This window comes from Homo sapiens, chromosome 6 (genome assembly GCF_000001405.40).
Source record: "Homo sapiens chromosome 6, GRCh38.p14 Primary Assembly".
In the NCBI taxonomy this organism is placed as follows: Eukaryota; Metazoa; Chordata; class Mammalia; order Primates; family Hominidae; genus Homo; species Homo sapiens.
The window spans coordinates 79,951,444-79,967,592 of NC_000006.12; the positions used below are offsets into that span (position 1 = coordinate 79,951,444).

General features: G+C 37.7%; 1 long non-coding RNA gene and 2 pseudogenes across 1 annotated transcript in view; 2 read left to right on the plus strand and 1 right to left on the minus strand.

Annotated features, from left to right (window-relative positions):
- LOC124901351 (uncharacterized) overlaps window positions 1–16,149 on the plus strand; it is a 32,242-nt gene that overhangs the window by 3,639 nt on the left and 12,454 nt on the right. The gene's annotated exons all lie outside the window — the stretch shown is intronic.
- Window positions 1,363–2,639, minus strand: GAPDHP63 (glyceraldehyde 3 phosphate dehydrogenase pseudogene 63; annotated as a pseudogene).
- On the plus strand, window positions 12,772–13,079 carry RPL35AP18 (ribosomal protein L35a pseudogene 18; annotated as a pseudogene).

The window sequence follows — 16,149 nt, forward strand, 5'->3', positions numbered from 1 at the left end:
CATTGTTGCTTGACAGATTATCATGTTTATTGCAATTTTAGCCTTCTTTCAGGAATTGCCTGTTTGAATTCTTTAGACATTTTCCATTAGTTGTGTCTACTTTTTCTTATTGATTTATAAGACATCTTCTTATAATAAAGTTATTAACAGTTTGTCTGCATATGTTGCAAATATATTTTCCCAGTTTGCTATTTGTCTCTTACTAAATTTATTATAATGATTTTCAACTAGGCATATTGAATGCTGGGAATAAGTTAGGTTCACCCGCCACCACCTCCACCAGAATCATATATCAGAATGCCTTCTCAGCTTTGCAACCCCTGATGCATATTTCTAAGGTACATATGCTACTCCTTTCCTAAGAATGACAACTACAAATTACTTACATTGGATATTCATTGTTTTGGTGTGACCCAATATGTACACCCAATCTGTATTCTTTACCGGTCAAAGCCATTAGCCCAGTCTCTCTTCACATAGCCATGTTTCAAGGCCATATCCCACACTTTTAGTCATACATTCAAGCATATAGTGATAAGAGGGCCAAACCATGGTGGTTCTGCCCGTTTTTCCTGGCTTGGCTATACCAAGAAAAGTTTTGTCACTCTTAATTGAGTATTGTCTGAGTTGTGATTTCCTTCACTTACTACTCTAACATATCTGTCTTCATGGATATCAACAAACTTTGGTCCAAGAAATCTGGTAATAAATTCCAAGTGTTAATGGGGAATGCCTTTTCACCCTGCTCTCATATTCCTATTACTGAAGAGCAATCTGGTTTCAGGGTAGGAGAAGATAAAAAGAGCCTGAGGGGAAATAAACTCACCATGATAGAGGAAAGAAACCAGCTGTATTTCAAGGACTTACTTTTAAAAACCCAAGACATCAGAAAAATACTTGGTTCTAGGCAAGCATTTAGTTGATTCCAGAAGCTATCTCCTACCAGCCATCCCGATGACCCAGGAATGCTTCTTAAGGAAAATGGTTATATGTGAATAAATGCTTAAAAACTTTCCAGTAAATGAACCATAATTTTATGGACTCAGCAACTTTGCAGTAGGACTCACCTGCCTGTGAACCATACAAAGATAAATGACCCCCCTCTGATCTTGGAGAAACTGTCTTGAACCTGAAGAATCCATACACACTATACACAAAAGCAAATGTGAATAACAACTGAGGGAAAACATTGACTTCTGTAACATCACTTATATATCTGTTCCCTCTTTCTCATCCTTGTCGGTTTCTCCTCTTTTTGTGGCCTGTGAATGTTAAAATTCAATTATTTCTGGCTGCTTTACAAGTTTTTTTTTTTACTTATGTTATCCTTTCTGCCTAAACTATTATGATTGTTATTATTTTTGGCTGAGCACAGGGGACTTTATTGATGGTACACGACAACATGGGGCTCCCTAGGCCCCTCCCTCTTCAAGGGGTGTGCATGGAATGTGTGAGGAGGGAAGATTCAGTGTGGTGGGGAATGAGTGTGCCAGGGACTCCCCAACAGTGAGGGCCTCTTTCTTCCTCCTGTGCTCTCGCTGAGGCTGGTGGTCCAGGGGTCTTACTCCTTGGAGGCCATGTGGGCCATGAGGTCCACCACCCTGTTGTTGTAGCCAAATTCATTGTCATACCAGGAAATGAGCTTGACAAAGTGGTCGTTGAGGGCAGTGCCAGCCCCAGCATTGAAGGTGGAAGAGTGGGTGTCACTGTTGAAGTCGGAGGAGACCACCTGGTGCCCAGTGTAGCCCAGGATGCCTTTGAGGGGGCCCTCTGATGCCTGCTTCACCACCTTCTTGATGTCATCATATTTGGCAGGTTTTTCCAGATGGTAGGTGAGGTCCACCACTGACACGTTGGCAGTGGGGACACGGAGGGCCATGCCAGTGAGCTTACCATTCAGCTCAGGGATGACCTTCCTCACAGCCTTGGCAGCCCAGTAGTGGCAGGGATGATGTTCTGGAGAGCCCTGTGGCTGTCACGCCACAGTTTCCTGGAGGGGCCATTCACAGTCTTCTGGGTGGCAGTGATGGCGTGGACTGTGGTCATGAGTCCTTCCACGATACCAAAGTTGTCAGTGATGACTTTGGCCAGGGGCGCTAGGCAGTTGGTGGTTCAGGTGGCATTGCTGATGATCTTGAGGCTGTTGTCATACTTCTCATGGTTCACACCCATCGTGAACATGGGGGGATCAGCAGAGGGGGCAGAGATGATGACCCTTTTGGCTCCCCACTGCAAGTGAGCCCCAGCATTCTCCATGGTGGTGAAGATGCCAGTGGACTCCATGACATACTCAGTGCCAGCATCACCCCACTTGATTTTGGAGGGATCTGGCTCCTGGAAGATAGTGATGGGATTTCCATTGATGACAAGCTTCCCGTTCTCAGCCTTGACGGTGCCATGGAATTTACCATGGGTGGGATCATACTGGAACATGTAGACCATGTAGCTGAGGTCAATGAATGGGTCATTGATGGCGATAATATCTACTTTACCAGAATTACAAGCAGCCCTGATGACCAGGCGCCCAATACAACCAAATCCATTGACTCCAACCTTCACTTTCCCCATGGTGTCTCAGGGATGTGGTTGGCAATGCAAGAGAAGATGCAGCTGTCTGTCAAACAGGAGGAGCAGAGAGCCCTGCCTAAATTATTTCATGCACTCTCATAGCGTTGGTTACCATCTGCATTCATAACTCTCAGATATATGTGTTCAACCTAGATCTTCTTTCCAGCTCATGTATCTCATAGCTTGTGTGGTTCTCTTTAATGTAACTCAGGCATCTTGAAAATCAACATGTTAAAAACCTATCTCCCCCCCTCCCACAATCTGTTCTTCTTTCATATTTCCCTATTTCCACACATGCCAAAAGTGATCAATGACATTTTATAATATTCTCCCTTCCAACACACATCCAATTCATGACCACCTCCTATTAATTCTGCTTGCAAAATATATCTTGATTTTTTCCACTTCCCTCAGCTCTACTGCATATAATTTAACCGAAAATTCCATCATTTCTCTCCCACCTTAAACACTTCAAACTTCAATCACCTCATTTTTTTTTTTTTTTTTTTGAGACAGTCTTGCTCTGTCACCCAGACTGGAGTGCAGTGGCATGATCTTGGCTCACTGCGACCTCCGCCTCCCAGGTTCAAGTGATTCTCCTGTCTCAGCCTCTTGAGTAGCTGGGATTACAGGCACTCACCACCATGCCCGGCTAATTTTTGTATTTTTAGTAGAGATGGGGTTTCACCATGTTGGTCAGGCTGGTCTCGAACTCTTGACTTCGTAATTCGCCTGCCTTGGCCTCCCAAAGTGCTGGGATTATAGGCGTGAGTAACTGTGCCTGGCCTCAATCACCCCTTAACTGATCTCTCTGCATCCATTTATTTCCTCCTACAATTTATTCTCACACAGTACTTTGAGTATCTTTTAAAATTGCATGTCAGATGATGGCATTTCTCATCTTAAAATCTCTTAATATTTCTAGTACTCTCAGGAAGCTCCAAAGCCTCCACATCTAGAAGCTTAGAACATTGTAAATCTTTCTTCTTGCCTAATGAAAGTGTGATCTAGAATGCCTATCATTCCTTTACCACTTCTGCTTTTAGTATACAGGGAAGCTAATCAGGACCTCCTTCTGTTTCTCCAAAGAGCCAAGCTTCCCTTGACTCAGGGCTTTTGCACATAACTTTCTCCCTCTTGGAATACTCTTTCACAACCTCTGACTAGAGCTAATACCCACTTTACCTTAAATGTATGACCTAGGAAAACTCTGACTCCAATAACAAGGTTAGATCCCCGTTACACACATGTTCACGGTGTCTTGTACTTTTTTGTCATAGTATTTGTATCATTTAGCATTAGATATGATTACATATTACAGAAAAACCCAAAAGAAAAGTGCCTAAAGCAAAATAGAAGCTTTTTATTTTTCACTTCCTTAAAGGATGTCAGGATGTGGACAGACCAAAGTTAGTAGAGATAAAAGAGCCAGTAAAAGGTAAGCACGTAATAACAGACCTTTAAGATACATAAAGCAATATTTGACAGACTAAGAAAAAAATTAGACAAATTCAAGATTATTGTTATAGAATTTAATACCCCTATTATATAATTAATATAATAAATAGGCAAAGATAAATTATAATATAGAAGAGATGTATTACACTGTAAATCATTTGACCTGGTGGAGGCCAAATTCATGGGCATGAAACAATCACAAAGATCTATAATTTTATGGGCTGTTAAATAACTCTTAATAAATTTCAAATAGGAAATAATATAGAACTTGACCACAAGGGGATTAAATGGGAAATCAATAACAATGAAATATCTATAAAAAATTTTAAGGTCAAGCACAGTTGTTCACACCTGTAATCCCAACGTTTTGGGAGGCAGAGGCAGGAGGATCAATTGAGGCTGGAAGTTTGAGATCAGCCTGGGCACCTAGTGAGGCCCTGTCTCAACAACAGCAACAGAAAGTATCCAAACTAATTTATTGAGAGTTTTTAGCATGAAGGGCTGTTGAGTTTTGTCAAAGGCCTTTTCTGCATCTATTGAGATAATCATGTGGTTTTTGTCTTTGGTTCTGTTTATATATTGGATTACGTTTATTGACATGCGTATGTTGAACCAGCCTTGCATCCCAGGGATGAAGCCCACTTGATCATGGTGCATAAGCTTTTTGATGTGCTGCTGGATTCGGTTTGCCAGTATTTTATTGAGGATTTTTGCGTCGATGTTCATCAGGGATATTGGTCTAAAATTCTCTTTTTTTGTTGTGTCTCTGCCAGGCTTTGGTATCAGGATGATGCTGGCCTCATAAAATGAGTTACGAAGGATTCCCTCTTTTTCTATTGATTGGAATAGTTTCAGAAGGAATGGTAACAGCTCCTCCTTGTACCTCTGGTAGAATTTGGCTGTGAATCCATCTGATCCTGGACTTTTTTTGGTTGGTAAGCTATAAATTATTGCCTCAATTTCAGCTCCTGTTATTGGTCTATTCAGAGATTCAACTTCCTCCTGGTTTAGCCTTGGGAGAGTGTATATGTCGAGGAATTTATCCATTTCTTCTAGATTTTCTAGTTTATTTGCATAGAGGTGTTTATAGTATTCTCTGATGGTAGTTTGTATTTCTGTGGGATTGGTGGTGATATCCCCTTTATCATTTTTTATTGCATCTATTTGATTCTTCTCTCATTTCTTCTTTATTAGTCTTGCTAGCAGTCTATCAATTTTGTTGATCTTTTCAAAAAACCAGCTCCTGGATTCATTGATTTTTTGAAGGGTTTTTGTGTCTCTATCTCCTTCAGTTCTGCTCTGATCTTAGTTATTTCTTGCCTTCTGCTAGCTTTTGAATGTGTTTGCTCTTGCTTCTCTAGTTCTTTTAATTGTGATGTTAGGGTGTTAATTTTAGATCTTTCCTGCTGTCTTTTGTGGGCATTTAGTGCTATAAATTTCCCTCTCCACACTGCTTTAAATGTGTCCCAGAGATTCTGGTATGTTGTGTCTTTGTTCTCATTGGTTTCAAAGAACATCTTTATTTCTGCCTTCATTTTGTTATGTACCCAGTAGTCATTCAGGAGCAGGTTGTTCAGTTTCCATGTAGTTGCGTAGTTTTGAGTGAGTTTCTTAATGCTGATTTCTAGTTTGATTGCACTGTGGTCTGAGAGACAGTTTGTTATAATTTCTGTTCTTTTACATTTGCTGAGGAGCGCTTTACTTCCAACTATGTGGTCAATTTTGGAATAAGTGTGATGTGGTGCTGAGAAGAATGTATATTCTGTTGATTTGGGGTGGAGAGTTCCATAGATGTCTATTAGGTCCACTTGGTGCAGAGCTGAGTTCAGGTCCTGGATATCCTTGTTAACTTTCTGTCTCATTGATCTGTCTAATGTTGATAGTGGGGTGTTAAAGTCTCCCATTATTATTGTGTGGGAGTCTAAGTCTCTTTCTAGGTCTCTAAGGACTTGCTTTATGAATCTGGGTGCTCCTGTATTGGGTACATATATATTTAGGATAGTTAGCTCTTCTTTTTGAATTGATCCCTTTACCATTATGTAATGACCTTCTTTGTCTCTTTTGATCTTTGTTGGTTTAAAGTCTGTTTTATCAGAGACTAGGATTGCAACCCCTGCCTTTTTTGTTTTCCATTTCCTTGGTAGATCTTCCTCCATCCCTTTATTTTGAGCCTATGTGTGTCTCTGCACGTGAGATGGGTTTCCTGAATACAGCACACTGATGGGTCTTGACTCTTTATCCAATTTGCCAGTCTGTGTCTTTTAAGTGGAGTATTTAGCCCATTTACATTTAAGGTTAATATTGTTATGTGTGAATTTGATCCTGTCATTATGATGTTAGCTGGTTATTTTGCTTGTTAGTTGATGCAGTTTCTTCCTAGCCTTGATGTTCTTTACAACTTGGCATGTTTTTGCAGTGGCTGGTACCGGTTGTTCCTTTCTATGTTTAGTGTTTCCTTCTGGAGCTCTTTTAGGGCAGGCCTGGTGGTGACAAAATCTCTCAGCATTTGTTTGTCTGTAAAGGATTTTATTCCTCCTTCACGTATGAAGCTTAGTTTGGCTGGATATGAAATTCTGGGTTGAAAATTATTTTCTTTAAAAATGTTGATGGGACATATCTCAAAATAATAGGAGCTATTTATGACAAACCCACAGCCAATGTCATACTGAATGGTCAAAAACTGGATGCATTCTCTTTGAAAACTGGCACAAGACAGGGATGTCCTCTCTCACCACTCCTATTCAACATAGTGTTGGAAGTTATGGCCAGGGCAATCAGGCAGGAGAAAGAAATAAAGGGTATTCAATTAGGAAAAGAGGAAGTCAAAGTGTACCTGTTTGCAGATGACATGATTGTATATCTAGAAAACCCCATTGTCTCAGCCCAAAATCTCCTTAAGCTGATAAGCAACTTCAGCAAAGTCTCAGGATACAAAATCAACGTGCAAAAATCACAAGCATTCTTATACACCAATAACAGACAAACAGAGAGCCAAATCATGAGTGAACTCCCATTCACAATTGCTTCAAAGAGAATAAAATACTTAGGAATCCAACTTACAAGGGATGTGAAGGACCTCTTCAAGGAGAACTACAAACCACTGCTCAATGAAATAAAAGAGTACACAAACAAATGGAAGAACATTCCATGCTCATGGATAGGAAGAATCAATATCGTGAAAATGGCCATACTGCCCAAGGTAATTTATAGATTCAATGCCATCCCCATCAAGCTACCAATGACTTTCTTCACAGAATTGGAAAAAACTACTTTAAAAGTTCATATGAAAACAAAAAAGAGCCTGCATTGCCAAGTCAATCCTAAGCCAAAAGAAATCACACTACCTGACTTCAAACTATACTACAAGGCTACGGTAACCAAAACAGCATGGTACTGCTACCAAAACAGAGATATAGACCAATGCAACAGAACAGAGCCCTCAGAAATAATACCACACATCTACAACTATCTGATCTTCGACAAACCTGAGAAAAACAAGCAATGGGGAAAGGATTCCCTATTTAACAAATGGTGCAGGGAAAACTGGCTAGCCATATCTAGAAAGCTGAAACTGGATCCCTTCCTTACACCTTATACAAAAATCAATTCAAGATGGATTAAAGACTTAAATGTTAGACCTAAAACCATAAAAACCCTAGAAGAAAACCTAGGCAATACCATTCAGGACATAGGCATGGGCAAGGACTTCATGTCTGAAACACCAAAAGCAATGGCAACAAAAAGCCAAAATTGACAAATGGGATCTAATTCAACTAAAGAGCTTCTGCACAGCAAAAGAAACTACCATCAGACTGAACGGGCAACCTACAGAATGGGAGAAAATTTTTGCTATCTACTCATCTGACAAAGGGCTCATATCCAGAATCTACAAAGAACTCAAACAAATTTATAAGAAAAAAACAAACAACCCCATCAACAAGTGGGCGAAGGCTATGAACAGACACTTCTCAAAAGAAGACATTTATGCAGCCAACAGACACATGAAAAAATGCCCATCATCACTGGCCATCAGAGAAATGCAAATCAAAACCACAATGAGATACCATCTCACACCAGTTAAAATGGCGATCATTAAAAAGTCAGGAAACAACAGGTGCTGGAGAGGATGTGGAGAAATAGGAACACTTTTACACTGTTGGTGGGACTGTAAACTAGTTCAACCATTGTGGAAGACAGTGTGGCAATTCCTCAGGGATCTAGAACTAGAAATACCATTTGACCCAGCCATCCCATTACTGGGTATATACCTAAAGGATTATAAATCATGCTGCTATAAAGACACATGCACATGTATGTTTATTGTGGCACTATTCACAATAGCAAAGACTTGGAACCGACCCAAATGTCCAACAGTCATAGACTAGATTACGAAAATGTGGCACATATGCACCATGGAATACTATGCAGCCATAAAAAATGATGAGTTCATGTCCTTTGTAGGGACGTGGATGAAGCTGGAAACCATCATTCTCAGCAAACCATCGTAAGGACAAAAAACCAAACACCACATGTTCTCACTCATAGGTGGGAATTGAACAATGAGAACACTTGGACACAGGAAGGGGAACATCACACACCAGGGCCTGTTGTGGGGTGGGTGGGGGGAGGGATAGCATTAGGAGGTATACCTAATGTAAATGACGAGTTAATGGGTGCAGCACCCCAACATGGAACATGTATACATATGTAACAAACCTGCACGTTGTGCACATGTACCCTAGAACTTAAAGTATAATAATAATAAAAAAAATTTCCAAACTAAATAATAGTTAAAACACAACATACTAAGATGTATGGGATGCAATTAAAGCAAGCTTTAAAGGAAAATAAATACTTTAATTAGAAGAAGAAATTGCAATCAATATTCTAAGCTCCTAATTTAAAGAGCTGGAAAAAAACAGTAAATTAGAATAAAAGTAAACAGAAGAAATAAAATAATGCAGATAAGAGCAGAAATAAAGGAAAAGAGAAAACCGACAGTTGAGTAATTCAGCAAAGCCGTCATTTGGTTCTTTGAAAATAGTAAGAAAATTTATAAATCCTGACATATTCTAATAAAGAAAAAAATAGAGAATAAAAGGATATTATTACAGAATCTATAGGCATTAAAAGGATAGTAAGGAAGTATTATAAACAGTTTTATGCTAGAAGATTTGATGAATTAGGTATAATAGACCAATTCCTTAGAAAATACAACTTATCAAAACTGAAACAAGAAGAAATGTAAAATTTGAATAGCCTTGAAAGAAATTAAGTTTATAATTTCTTAATCTTCTAACAAATAGCTCTATGCTTAGACAGCTTCATTGCCAAATCCTATGAAATATTTAAGGAAGAAATATTACCAGTGTTACACTCAAACACTTTCAGAATAAAGAGAAGGTAACTCTTCTCAATTCATTTTATGATGTCACCATAAATCTGATACCAAAACCTACCGAGGACTTTTCAAGAAAAGTAAATTATAGTCTAATATTCCTCATTAACATACATGCACAAATCCTTTAGTAATGTATCAAATCAAATTCAACAAGATATAAAGAGGATAATACATCTTTCATGTGCATGTACCCAATACCAGTGTCAAAATATGTGAGGCAAAACCTGATAGAGTTGTGAAGAAAAATAAACAACTTCGGTATTAGAGACTTCAACACTAATTTCAGTAATTGATAGGTCAAGCATTCAGAAAATCAGTAAGAGTGTAGTTGATCTAAAGAACACTCTCAGTTACCTTGATCTAACGGACATAAAATATTTCAACCAACAACAGCTGAATACACTGCTTTCTCAAGCTCATGTGGAACATTCACCAAGATAGACCACATTCTGGACTATAAACATACCTTAACAAATCTAAAAGAATAGAAATCATACAAAGAATGTCCTCAGACCACAATACAATTAAATTAGAAATCAACAATGGAAAGATAATTGGGAAAACCAGAAACGTTTGGAGATTAAACAACATATTTCTAAACAACATATGGGTCAAAGAGAAGTCTCAAGAGAAATTTTAAAATATTTTGAACTAAAAAATGCAACTTATCAAAGTTTGTGGGATGCAGCAAAAGCAGTGAGGTTTCCATAGTATTAAAATTAACATGTTAGAAAAGAAAAAAAAGGTGGAAAATTATTAAGCTTCACCTTAGGAAACTGGAGAAAGAAGAGCAGTGTAAACCCAAAGGAAGCAGAAGAAAAGAAATAATAAAAATCAGAGCAGAAATCAGTGAAACTGAAAACTGGAAAACAACAGAGAAAGTCAATATAACCAAAAGCTGCTTCTTTGAAAACATCAATAAAATTGAAATCTCTATCTAGGCTAAGAAAAAAAGAAAGAAGATGCAAATTACTAACATCAGAAATGAAAGAATGGCCATCACTACTACTCCCATGAATGTTAAAAGAATACTATATGAATGCTCTGAACAAATTTATGCCCACCAATATAATAAAGTAGGTAAAATGGGCTAATTTCCTAAAATATACTTATTACCAAAATTCATACAAGGAAGATTAGAAAATATGAATAGAATTATATCTATTAAAGAAACTGAATCCATAATTCATTAACTTCTAAAATGTAATGCACCTTGTCCAGATGGTTTCATCTGTGAATTCTACCAATATTTAAGGAAGAAAGGATACAAATTCTCACAATCTCTTCCAGAAAATAGAAGTACAGAGAACACTTTCTAACTCATTTCATGAGGCCACTATTACTCCAATACCAAAATCAGATAAAGATATTATAAGAAAGGAAAACTACACACTAAAATCTCTCATAAAATAAATGTTAAAATCCTCAATAAAATATACCAAATTGAATTCAATAATGTATAAAAATAATTAAACCTCAAGACCAAGTGGGATTTATTCTAGTTATGCAAGGCTGGTTCAAAAATCATTCCAAATAATTCAAAAAACCACATTTAAAAGTCAGTCAGTATAATCCATCACATCAACAGGCTAAAGAAGAAAAATATGATCTTATCAACTGATGCAGAAAAATCATTTGGCAAAAATGTAACACCCATTCATAATACAAACTCTCAGCACACAAAGGATAAAGGGAACTTTTGTAACTTGATAAAGAATATCTAAAATTGCCTACAGCAGACATCAGTCTTAAGATGACTAACTGAACATTTTCTCTTTAAAATCATAAATAAGGCAAAGTTACCCTGCCCCACCACTCCTAGTTAGCATCATACTGGAATTCCTAACAAGTGCAATAAGATAAGAAAAGGAAATAAGTGTATTTAGACTGGAAAGGAAAAAATATAACTGTCTTTATTCACAGATAACATGATTATCTATGTGGAAAATCCCAAAGGGTTATCAACAACAAAACTCCTAGAACTAATAAGAGACCATAGGAAGTTTACAGGATACAAGGATAATATCCAAAAGTTAATTGCTTTATCAATAATGAACAACTTGAAATGGAAATTTAAAAAGCAATACTATTTACAATAGCACCAAAGAAAATGAAATACTTAGGTATAAATCTAGCAAATTATGCACAGAATCCATACGTGAAAATCTGTAAAACTCTAATGAAATAAATCAAAGGAGATATAAATAAATGGAGAGATATGATATTCTATGTGCACTGATTAGAAGACTAAATATTGTTAACATGCCAATTCTTCCCAATTTGGTGTACACATTCAATGCAATCTCAATAAAATTCCAGCAAGCTATTTTGTAAATATCAACCAACTGATTCTAAAGTTCATGTGAAAATGTAAGAGATTTAGAATAGCTAACACAATACCAAAGAAGAACACAGTTGGAGAATTCACACTACTTGATTTCAAGACTTAATATAAAGCTACAGTAGTTAAGACCTTATTATACTGGGGAAAGAATAGACACATAGAACGATGGAAAGAATGTAGAGCCCAGAAATTGACCAACACATATGTAGTCAACTTATCTTTGACAAAGAAGCAAAGAAAATTCAATGGAGAAAGAAGAGCCTTTTCAACAAATAGTCTAGAACAATTAGATGTCCATGCAAAAACAAAAAAAACAAAACAAAACCTGGAGAGAAAAATTACATCTTTCACAAAAATTAACTCAAATTGCATTATGGACCTAAATGTAGGATGCAAATCATAAAACTTCTGTATGAAAATATCAGCAAAAATCTAGGTGACCTTCATTATAGTGATGAGTGTTTAGATACAACATCAAAAGCACAATCTATGAAAGAAAAAAATTGATGTCATTAAAATTAAAAACTTCTGCTCTGTGAAAGACTATTTATTTGCAGAATTAAAAGACAAACTACAGAACTGAAGAAAATATTTGCAAACACATATCTGATAAAGGGCTTGTATCCAAAATATACAAAGAACTCTTAAAACTCAACAATAACAACAACAGTAAAACAAACAACTCGATTGAAAAAATAATCAAAAGATCTGGACACCTCATCAAAGAAGATCTGCAGATGGGAAATAAGGATATGAGATGCTCAACATCATTTGTCATTAAGAACTGCAAATTAAAATAACAATGACATACCACTACACATTTATGAGAATGGCTAAATTTCAAAAGAAAACCTAACAATTCAGAAATCATGCTCCTATTTATTTACCCAACTGATTTGAAAATGTATATCCATACCAAAACCTCCACATGGTTCTTCCCACCATTTTGTAGTCTGTGGAGGCCTACTGGGAAAAGGACTTCTAAAAGATAAATCTGTTTGGAAGGCTGTTTTCCAACGCCACTTTTGATGGCTGTAAGTGGGATCTCTGGAACCAAAGGGAGCACATGGCTCTTCTTAAAACTGAAGGTATTTGTGTCCAAGATGAAACTGAATTCTGTTTGGCCAAGAGATGTGCTTCTGTGTACGAAGGAAAGAACACAGTGGCTTCTGCCAGCAAACCAAACAAAACCAGAGTAATCTGGAAAAGGTAACTTGTGCCCATGAAAAAAGTGACATCGTTCATAATAAATTCCAAAACAACTTTCCTGCTAAGGCCATTGAACACAAAATCAATGTGATACTTTTAGGTAATTAGATAGATATTAGCAGCTGGGAGTGGGTAAGAAAAGAGAACCAAAAGGCTGTCACTAAGGCAGCCCATGGCCCACCTGAGTTCAGCCCCAGAACTGCCGTAACTCCACCCTAACAGTTGGAGTTTGTGGTAAAGTCTGTGGGCCAACACATCCTGGAGAAGGAGAAAGTAGGGCACAGGTGGAAATTACTTAAAGTGGCACATGCCCAGTAACATGGAACTGTGTCCTCAAGTTCACCCCATGCTCATTATACCATCATTATAATAAAATTTACATGTGTTTTTACAGCCGCCCACCATGGGCTTTTGTTAACAAAATATGAGTAAGAGCATGCACAATTTAATTTTAGCTACATGTCCATATACTGACAATCAAATGACATCATCTTGCTACTCAGACAGAGGCCAAACCCTAACTCCTTCCCACAAAAGCTGCATCAAAGCCCTCTGAGTTTTGTAAAAAGGGACTGATTTCACTTCGCAGAAATCAGCCCACTCTCTCTCTGAGAGTCTATTACTGTTCTTCAGTAAACTCTGCTTTGAGCTTGCATTTTGGTGTTAGTTTGCAATTCTTTGCTCAGTATCACAGGAACCAAGATTACTGGTCCAGAGCTCCAGCTCTGTTGATCTTCTAGGTTAAAGAATCCATTCCAACACAGAATTCCCAGTAACAATACTGTACCCCTCAAGGACTTAAACTAATGAAAAGTAAATAAATAAGTGGATTTGTTCTCTTGTAAAACAAAACAAAATAAAAAATCCTGCACAGAGATGTTTATACCAGCTTTCTTCATAATCACCAAAAATTGGAAGAAACCAAGATGTCCTTTAATAAGTGAATGGATAAAATAATTTTGGCACATCCATACAGTGGGATATTATTCAGCAATAAAAAGAAATGAGCTGTCAAGCCATAAAAAGACATGAATAAAACTTAAATGCATAAATGAATATTGCTAAGTGAAAGAAACTAGTCTAAAAAGGCTACATAATATGTGATTCTAATTATCTAACATTTCTAAAAAGGCAAAGCTCTAGAGACAGTAAAAAGATTGGATACCTTCAGGTACTGGAAAACCTGAGGTTTTGGCACTGGATCAGAACCCCAGCATACTGCAATAGCCCTGTGGAAAAGTGGCCAGAGTCTTTGTTACATGGGTCCCTGATCTCACATTTCCTCACTGGACAGGTTCTCCTGGCCTGGGTCTCCAGCCACCCCACATTGGACTATCGAGCCAGTAGTAGCTCTTCAGCTTCCTGAGACAGAGCTCCCAATGGAAGGGGCAGGTTGCCATCTTTGCTGTCTTCCAGCCCTCACCCTTGCTGTGTCCAGGCTCTGGAGCATCCATGAAACCAGGTGTTGGTCCAGACCCCCAGAGGAGCACCTACCTCATGTAAAAGTGTCTTGTCTGTTCTCCATGAAGGTCCTGGTCCTTACTTCTCACTGGGCAGGGCCGCCTGACCTGGGACTCCAGTACAACCACCATGCCCCCACTTGACTGCTTCAATCAGGGATAGCCTAGCAGTTAAAGGAACACATACAAGCAGAGATGAGAATGAACAAATGCAAGAACTCCAACAACTCAAATGACCAGGGTGTCTTATGTTCTCCAAATGACTACGCTAATTCTCCAACAAGGATTCTTAACTAGACTGAGTCGGCTGAAATGACAGAAATAGAATTCAGAATACAGATAGAAACAAAGATCATAAAGGCTCAGGGGAAAAGCAAAACCCAATTTAAGGAAACTAAGAATTACAAGAAAACAATACAGGAGCTGATAGACAAAATAACAGCTATAAAAAGGAACCTAATTGATCCAATAGAGCTGAAAAATACACTACAAGAATTTCACCATGCATTTGTAAGTATTAACAGCAGTAGACCAAGCTGAGGAAAGAATCTTGGAACTTGAAGATTGACTCTCTCGAATAAGACAGTCAGACAAAAATAAAGAAAAAAGAATGAAAGGGAATGAACCAACCCTCTGAGAAATATGGGACTAGGTAAAGAGGCCAAATCTACAAATCACTGGCATCACTGAAAGAGATGACGAAAAAGCAAACAACTTGGAAAACATATTTCAGGATATTGTCCATGAAAATTTCCACAACCTCATTAGGCCAACAGCCAAATTCAGGAAATACAGAGAATGCCTGCAAGATTCTACACAATAAGATCATCCCAAGACACATAATCATCAGATTTTCCAAAGATAAAATAAAAGAAAGAATGTTGATCAGGAAATACAGCAAACTCCTGCAAGATTCTACACAAGAGGATCATCCCAAGACACATAATCATCAAATTTTCCAAGGATAAAATAAAAGAAAGAATGTTAAAGGCAGCCAGCAAGAAAGGGCATGTCACCTGCAAAGAAAACCCCATCAGGCTAACAGCGGACCTCTCCGCAGAAATCCTATGAGCCAGAAGCGATTGGGGGCCTATATTCAACATTCTTAAAGAAAAATATCTTCAAATAAGAATTTTGTATGCAACAAAACTAAGCTTTGTTAGTGAAGGAGAAATATGATCCTTTTCAGGTAAGCAAATACTGAAGGATTTTATTACCATCAGCCCTGTCTTACAAGAGCTCTTGAAAGGAGCTCTGAATATGGAACGGAAAGACTATTATCAGCCAATACAAAAACACACTTAAGACCAGTGATACTATAAAGCAACCACAGACCAGTGCTACTATAAAATAACCACATAAACAAGCCAGCATAATAACCAGCTAACAACACAATGACAGGATCAAGTCCATACATATCAATACCAACTTTGAATGTAAACAGGCTAAATGCCTCATTTAAAAGGCACAGAGTGGCAATTTGGATAAAAAAGCAAGACTTGGTGGTATGCTGTCTTCAAGAGACCACACACAATAACACCCATAGGCTCAAAATAAAGGGATGGAGAAAAAGCTACCAAGCAAATGGAAATCAGAAAAAAAGCAGGAGTTACAATTCTAATTTCAGACAAAACAGACTTTAAACCACCAAAGATCAAAAAGGATGAAGGGTATTATATCATGGTAAAGGGTTCAATTCAACAAGAAGA